The sequence below is a fragment of the Homo sapiens genome, chromosome 5, assembly GCF_000001405.40.
Source record: "Homo sapiens chromosome 5, GRCh38.p14 Primary Assembly".
NCBI classification, from domain to species: Eukaryota; Metazoa; Chordata; class Mammalia; order Primates; family Hominidae; genus Homo; species Homo sapiens.
Window position 1 is genome coordinate 149,949,703 of NC_000005.10, and position 9,158 is coordinate 149,958,860.

Consider the following 9,158-nt stretch of genomic DNA (forward strand, 5'->3'; position numbering starts at 1 on the left):
TTTGTGTGATTTATTTCACTTAGCATAATGTTTTCAAGGTTCATACATGTTGCAGCATGTATCAGTATTTTATTCCTTTTTTTCACCATGCTGTGCTGAAATGTATCATTCCTTTTTGAATGAAAAGTATCATTCCTTTTTATGGCTGAATAATGTTGCATTGCATAGATATACCCTGTTTTGTTTAGCCATTCATCAGTTGATGGACATTTGGGTTGTTTCCACTTTTTGGCTATTATGAACATTCTTGTACAAGTCTTTGTGTGGACATATGTTTTCATGTCTCTTGGGTATATATCCAGAAGCAGAACTGCTGGTTCCACAGGTGATTTTAAGATTGCAAGTTGGGCCAGGCACGGTGGCTCATACCTGTAATCCCAGCACTTTGGGTGGGTGGGGCAGGTGGATCACTTGAGGTCAGGAGTTGGAGCCCAGCCTGGCCAACATGGCGAAACCCGGTCTCTATTAAAATTGCAAAAATTAGCCAGGCAAGATGGCGTGCGCCTATAATCCCAGCTACTCGGGAGGCTGAGATGGGAGAATTGCTTGAACCCTGGAGGCAGAGGCTGCAGTGAGCCGAGATCGAGCCGCTGCACTCCAGCCTGGGCGACAGAGCCAGATGCCATCTCAAAAAAAAAAAAAAAAAAAAAAAAAAAAAAAAAAAAAGACTGCAAATTTGGAGGTAAAGAAGAGGGAATAAAGAAAAGAAACAGGACCAAGTAAGGAATCAAATGGATCAAGGAGAGATGTTTTGCAAGGTCCCTTTTTGGAAAAAATAGCACTCTGAAATTCAGGACCTACTAGAATGTGAACAGGCTGGTCAGCATATGATCGGCCACCACAAATTCTAGTGTGGGGTATAAAGGTCTCCACAGGCCATTCATCACTCTTGCAAATAGCCATGGTGAAGGAACTGGGGGTATTCAATTGTGAGGAAGCTCTGAAAGGCTGTTGGGGGTGAGGGAGGGTGCCAGTTTGTTCAGGAAGGCTCCAGAGAGCAGGACAAGCCAGCAGATGAGATGTACAGGTTGTTTTAAGAAGACAGTACCCAGAGTGCTTAAGAGGTAGAGCTTGAGAGTTAGACCTGGGGCCTGTTATTTGCTAACTGTGTAAATTATTTAATTTCTCCTGGGCCTCACTTTGCTTGTCTGTAAAATTAGAATTATTTGACATGGTTGTTTGGAGATTAAATGAGATAATATAGTAAATATAATGCAAAGCTATGCACCTGGTGAGTATTAGGTTAAACCATATAAAACTGCCAATGATTATTTTTATTCTGCACAAATGACAATTTCATACTGTTCAATTTAATCATAGGTAATCAATCATTACTAGTTATTGCCACTACCAAAGACTAACTGAATTACCTCATAGGTAGTGACCTCCCTGTCATTGAAGGTATGAGAGCAGAGAACATGGCAAAGAGGAATCAAATATCAATATTTATATAAGAAGATGAATCTGGGGCTAGCAAGTCAATAAGGAGGCTGTTGCAATATTCCTGGAGTAATGAGGACCTGGCCCAAGATAGGAGGCAAAAGAATGGAGAGAAATGAGCGGGTTAGAAGCAAGAAGTAGAATGTGGAAGCTACGCTGGCTGACCAGGAGAGGGGGCATGAGAAAGAATGGTGCAAGCTTGTGTGATTTGTGTGTCCTTGAGCCTCTGTAGGACATCCCAGAGGCACTAAGTGTCCCCGTTCTGGACATTTCACTGGAGTTAAATGTCAACTTAGCCTTCATTTCCTAATGGAAGCCTTTCTGCTCCTGGCTTGCCAAACCCTACCTCCTCCGGGAAGCCACAGAAGGGAAGACAGTCTCCCTTGTGAACCAGCCCTTAGAACTGCCAGAACAGCCTTTTCGGTCTCCACCCTCATTCTATACTTACCTTAGCACACTCCCACATCTCATTTGTGCTTACCCTTGATCTAGAGTTGATGTCAATTCCACATTGTCTGGCCGCCTGTTGATTTAGTGATTTTATTTGGCTACATGGGACCCATTGGGTCTGTATCCCTGAAGCTTGGCTAATCTTTGAAGTTCTCTTTGTTTTACCTTAAGGATCTAATCTGGATCTGCAGATGAGCCATGAAAAAGTTCGTCCTTATGTGCATTATAACCTTACGTCCTTTTTTTAAAGCCAGATTATGAAAGGAATCTATACTCAAAAAGAGTTGGGAACTTTGAGCAATCCTGAAAAGTCAGGTAAAATTAGGTCCCAAAAACATGCTGTTTGGCAATAGTCACAGAAAGGCAACAGCTAGGCTGGGCATGATATGGCATGTCTGTAATCCCAGCTACTTAGGAGGCTGAGATGGGAGGATTTCTGGGGCCCAGGAGTTGAGGTTGAGGCCAGCCTTGGCAACACAGCAAGACCTTGTCTAAAAAACAAAAAAAGAAAGGCAACAGGCAGGAAGGTATGCTTAGGCATTGGAATCAGAGAGAGCTGAGTTTAAATCCTTTTCCCACAATTTATAATTTTGACACTAGGCACATTATGTACTCTCTGGTCTTCATGTTCTCATTTGCAAATTGTGGGAAACAATGATACTTATTTTATAGAGCTGTTGTGGGAAGAAGCAGTGTATGTATTGAACCTGGTTGATGGCCAGCTCTTGATCAATTATGCTATTAATAATGATAATGTAAGCTAAATATGAGGCAGTGATATTTGGTAAAAAGAAGAAGTAATATAGATATATTTATTTTCTTATTATTTTTAAGCCAAAAAAAATTTTTTTTTTTTTTGAGATGGAGTCTCACTCTGTCGCCAAGTTGGAGTGCCGTGGCACGATCAAGGCTCACTGCAACCTCTGCCTCCGGGGTTCAAGCGATTCTCCTGCCTCAGCCTCCTGAGTAGTGGGGACTACAGATGCGTGCCACCACGCCCAGCTAATGTTTGCATTTTTACTAGAGACAGGGTTTCACCATGTTGGCCAGGATGGTCTCGATCTCCTGACCTCATGATCCGCCTGCCTCGGCCTGCCAAAGTGCTGGGATTACACGCGTGAGCCACCGCACCCGGCAAGCCAAAAATCTTTTTAAAATAAGGTAATATATATTTGTGTTGCAGATAATTGAGAAAATACAAGTAAACAAAACAGAAATATAACAGTTACCACCAAGAGAAACATTTTAATATATATCCTTTTTTTCCAATCATGTAATTTAAAAAATACAACTATGGTTTTGCAATACACATTTTGTTTGTTTAAAAAATATGTAAATAGGCCAGGTACGGTGGCTCACCTATGTAATCCCAGCACTTTGGGAGGCCGAGGCAGGCAGATCACGAGATCAGGAGTTTGAGACCAGCCTGGCCAATATGGTGAAACCCGTCTCTACTAAAAATACAAAAATTAGCCAGGCATGGTGGTGGGCACCTGTAGTCCCAGCTACTCAGGAGGCTGAGGCAGGAGGATCGCTTGAAACCAGGAAGCTGAGTTGCAGTGAGTCAAGATTGTGCCACTGCACTTCAGCCTGGGCGACAAGAGCAAAACTTTGTCTCAAAACAAAGAAAAGAAAAAAAATAAAATATATGTAAACATCTGTGCTATTAAATATTCTTTTATCAAGTGTTTTTTTTATGGCCTCACAGACTTCCATAGGGAGGATGTACTGTAACTTATTTAACATATTTTCAACTGTTGGTTATTTTGACTGTTCATTTTTTAAATGAACATTTGTGTAGTTAAATCTTTGCCCACTTGCTTGATTTTTTTTTTATCTTCTTAATCAAAAACTTGACCAGAAAGACAGAACAAGGTGATCCTTTAAGATCTTGTCCTGGCTATCCAGAAATCTGAATTTAAATAAGGAATAAGGAAATAATAGGAAAGTCAATATTTTGATGCAAAGATCATGTTTCGTTTTGAATGACCATCTCCCACAGCTCTTAGCCCATGTATCTGAAAGAACAGATCTGAATGGTGGGGCTTGTGACTGCTGTGAAATGTCAGATAACAGATCGCTTTCTGTACCTAAATATTTATAACAAGAGAGATTTGTACTCCTTCACCCTGAGTGTAAGAGTCACATTACTTTTCTTTCTCCAAATCAAATTTTATTTCAATTTTTAATTTTAATTTTATTTTTTTTAAGTCAGGGTTCAACCAGACTAAATCAAATTTTATATGCTGTAAGCCTCTACCCCGCAGTGCTGGCAGGATATTCAATCTTAATAATTATTGTGACCGATGTCCCACTCCAGGGTCATGTGAAGGTCTATTGGCCTTACTCCAGCCTCATAAAATCCATCTTGCCTTTGGTCCGCTCTGCCACCACAAACACACCCCACATCTAAGCTGGTATGGCCCCGGAAAGGCCAGCAGTTCTGCTCTTAGCCAGACATCGGGGGTCCTTGCTATGGCTGGGACCTCCCACTCCCAGGCTCCGGCCTCCCGGGGCATTAACAGCTACCCTCATAGGAGGCTCTCCCCGCTCTCCAGGGCAGAGAGTGGCCCGGGTTCTTTTCACTCAAGGATACTGCAAAGCCCAGACCCTGTCTCCATTTTGGGGAAGGCTCTCAAAAATCTTTCTTCTCGATTACCTGGCCCTCCATTCTCTCTCCCTCTGAAGCAATTCCGCCTAATTTCCCTCCAAGGCCAACAGCAGGAATAGATAGTTGCTTTCAAGGCCGGGCGCGGTGGCTCACGCCTGTAATCCCAACACTTTGGGAGGCCCAGGTGGGCGGATCACGAGGTCAGGAGATCGAGACCATCCTGGCTAACACAGTGAAACCCCGTCTCTACTAAAAATACAAAAAAAATTAGCCGGGCGTGGTGGGGGCGCCTGCAGTCCCAGCTACTCGGTAGGCTGAGGCAGGAGAATGGCATGAACCCGGGAGGCGGAGCTTGCAGTGAGCCGAGATCGCGCCACTGCACTCCAGCCTGGGCGACAGAGCCAGACTCCATTTCAAAAAAAAAAAAAAAATTAGTTGCTTTCTTGAGCCTGGGCATGGTAGCCTTCTGCCCTGCCACAGTGGCTCTGACATACAAGTGGTCATGAAGGGCCGAGCCCCCTCTAGGGATTGGGTGAGAGGGGGCAGAGGAAAACTATTCACATTCAGAGCACTGTTTGTAATATTAAAAGAGTAAAAACAACCTAAATGTCTGTCAATGCTTAGATAATTGATGATACATGCAAACAATGGAATACTATTCGGCTGCTGTGGCCAATGTTTCCTGTCCCACATCCCTTTCTTACCATGCAACTTGTACACTTTGCCCATTGAGACTTGAGGCCTATTCCCCTCCCCTTAAAATCAGGCAGGCTTTTATGACTTTTAACCAACAGACTGCAACGGAGGTGAAGCTTTGTGGCTTTTGTTTTTGTTGTTGTTTGGCAAGGTCTCCTTCTGTTGCCCAACTTGGAATACAATCGCATCTTTATAGTTCACTGCAGCCCCGGATTCTTGGGCTCAAGGGATTCTCCCACTTCAGCCTCCGGAGTAGCTGGGACCACAGGTGCACACCAACACGCCTGGCTAATTTTTTTTTTATTTGTTGTAGAGACCAGGTCTTGCTATGTTGTCCACACTGGTCTTGAATTCCTGGCCTCAAGCAATCCTCCTGCCTCAGCCTCCCAAAGCGCTAGGATTACAAGCGTGAGCCACTGCACCTTCTCTCTGTGACTTTTAAGGCTAGATCCTTAAAGGTTATACAGCGTCCCTGTTACTGCTGGGACATTGGCTCTTGAAGCCTTCACCTACCATTTAATCACAAACTGCCCAAAACTAAGAAAGCCTAAACTAGCCCCTGCAGAGAGACATAAGGAGAAGCCCTGCGACTGTATGAAGGAGGAAAGAGCTGTCCAGAAGGCAGTCAGCTGCTCTAGCCCCGATTCTGTCCCAACTCTAGCCACTATCTAGAGTCACATTGCATCTCTCTGAGAGATCCCAAGCCAGAACCACCCTGCAAGCCTTTGCCAAATTCCTGACCCACAGAAACTGAGAAAAAAATAAAAAGATTATTGTTGCTTTAAGCTTCTACCTTTTGGAGTGATTTATTCAGCAATAGAGAGAAAGCAGCTCTGTATGCACTGATATAAAATAATCTTCACCACATAATTTTTAAAAAGCAACAGAATGGTATGTATTCTATGCCCTTCTTGTTTAAAAAATATATAGGGAGAGTCTTATATATGCATACAATAGTGGTTTGCCAACCTAGGTGTGCTTAGAATCTCTAGTGGGGCTGGGAGCTGTGGCTCACACCTGTAATCCCAATACTTTGGGAGGACAAGGTGAGAGGATTGCTTGAGTCAGGAGTACAAGGCCAACCTGGGCAACATAGCAAGACTCCACCTCTACAAAAAATACAAAAATTAGCCAGGTGTGGTGGCACATGCTTGTAGTCCCAGTTACTTGGGAAGCTGAGGTGGAAAGATCACCTGAGCCTGGGGCAGTTGAGGCTGCAGTGAGCCATGATTGCACCACTGTACTCCAGCGTGGGCAACAGAGTGAGACCCTCTTTCAAAAAAAAAAAAAAAAAAAGGAAAAAGAAAAAAAGAATATCCTGGATAGCTTTTTTTATCTTTTATTTTTAAAATTTATTTTTATTTTAGATTCAGGGTGTACATGTGCTTGTTTGTTACATGGGTATATACATACTGGAGGGAATTGGGTTTCTAGTGTACCCAATACCCAAATACTCAAATAGTGAACATTGTACCCAACAGGTAATTTTTCTTTTTTTTTTTTTGAGACAGAGTTTCACTCTTTAGCCCAGGCTGGAGTAAAGTGGCATGATCTGGGCTCACTGTAACCTCCGCCCCTCGGGTTCAAGTGATTTTCCTGCCTCAGCCTTCCAAGTAGCTGGGATTACAGGTGGCCGCCACCACGCCTGGCTAATTTTTGTATTTTTAGTAGAGACGAGGTTTTACCATGTTGGCCAGGCTGGTCTCAAACTCTTGACATCAGGTGATCCACCCGTCTTGGCCTCCCAAAGTGCTGGGATTACAGGCGTGAGCCACCACGCCCAGCCCCGACAGGTAATTTTTCAACCCTCGTGCTCCTCTTTTGGAGTCTCCAGTATCTGTAATTTCCATCTTTATGATCTTATGTACCCATTGTTTAGTTCCCACTTATAAGTGAGAACATGTGTCTTTGGTTTTCTGTTTCTGAGTTGTTTTTCTTAGGATAATGGCCTTCGGCTCCACCCATATTGCTGCAAAGGACGTGATTTTGTTCTTTTTTATGGCTGCATGGCAGGCTTTTAAAAACTATCAATGTCTGAGTCAATACCAATAAAAGTATATCTGGTAGTAGGACCTAAACATTACCATTTTTTTAAAAGTTCCCCAAGAGACTCTTTTTTTTTTTTTGAGATGGAGTTTTGCTCTTGTTGCCCAGGCTGAAGTGCAATGTTGCAGTCTCGGCTCACTGCAACCTCCACCTCCTGGGTTCAAGTGATTCTCTTGCCTCAGCTTCCTGAGTAGCTGAGATTACAGGCACCCACTGCCACACCCGGCTAATTTTTTGTATTTTTAGTAAAGACAGCGTTTCACCATGTTGGCCAGGCTGGTCACGAACTCCTGACCTTGTGCAGAACTGAGAACTGCTGGTATAGAATAAACCTGGAAAGCAACACAGGAAAATGGGTGCTGTGTTTGCCTCTAGAAAGGTACACCAGGGTAAGAATAGGCTATGAGGAAGATTTACTTTTTACTGTAAACCCTTGACCTTTTTAATTTGTTTACTTTGTGTTACCTATTTCCAAGAACAATCAAGCTAACATTTTACAAAATGTTTTGCAAAAAAGTAAAATGGCCCAGGCATGGTGTCTCATGCCTGTAATCCCAATACTTTGGGAGGCCAAGGTAGGAGGATCACTTCAGGCCAGGAGTTTGAGGCCAGGAGTTTGAGATCAGGCTGGGCAACATAGGGAGACCCCCATTTCTACAAAAAAATAAAAAATTAGCTGGGTGTGGTGGCGTTCGGCTGTGGTTCTAGACACTCAGGAGGCTAAGGTGGGAGGATCACTTGAGTCCAGCAGTTCGAGGTTAGAGGGATCTATAATTGCGCCACTGCACTCCAGCCTGGGTGACAGAGCAAGACCCTGTCTCTTAAAAAAAAAAAAAAAAAAAAAAAAAAAGACACTTATAGCAGTGAAAATGAAGCCTGAATAGCACACTAGGAATAGTTCATTCAATAGTGGGAATCCAGTGGGAGTTCAAGGTCCAGTGGGGCCTCAGAGGAAGTGACTAGTCCCACCTGGGAAGAATGGGTGGTCAGGAATGCTGAGGAGGTAAATCCTGAAGTGGCCCCAACCTGAAAGGACTTATTTGCTGGCCCACCATGCCTCCAGTGCATACATCATTAGTTACGCTTTGGAAAAGCTGTTTGGGAAGAGTAATGGCTATAAAATGTGGCCCTCCGGCTGCCAGTCACCTCTGTGAACCCTGAGACCAACAGGAGGGAAAAAATGCCCAGGCTAGGAGGCGTAAAGAGATCCAAGTGCTGCTGATGTGATGTCATCGAGGAAAAGCTAATTATTGGCCAGCTTTCCAGTAGCAGGGATTTAGTTATTCACCCCCACCCCCCACCCCACCCCTCCACCCGCTGCCTTTGATTCCTGTTGTGGAGCACTGGAACATCGGTGAAGGGAAAGTAGCATGGCAGACCAAAGTCTGGCTCCATGGAGCTCCTTGGGATGTGTGTGTGGAGATCAGCGAGGGACCACAACAGTAAACAGCAGCCAGGGATGCTGAACTAGGAGGCAGAGAGGCACCAATGGCCAACCTAAAGCTTCTTTACTAGCACCTTCTCCTGGCCCCGGGCCATAGCTTGCATGTTCTTGGGTGCTGGCATGTCACAGCTCCCAGGTCAAAATCCACCTCCATCCCATCTCAAAATCTACTGCTTGTTAGCTGAATAAACTTGGTAAGTAATACTATTCTGAGCCCCAATTTCTTCGTCTGTGATGCAGATGAATATGTATGAAATAAAATCAAAGAATGATAGGCAGTATTAAATTTGACTGGTCTGGTTTTTTATTTTTGCTTTTGTTTTTATTTTTGAGATGGGGTCTCACTCTGTCACCCAGGCCGGAGTGCAGTGGCACGATCTCGGCTCACTGCAACCTCTGTCTACTGGGCTCAAGCTGTCCTCCCACCCCAGCCTCCTGAGTAGCTGGGACTACAGGCACATGCTACCATGC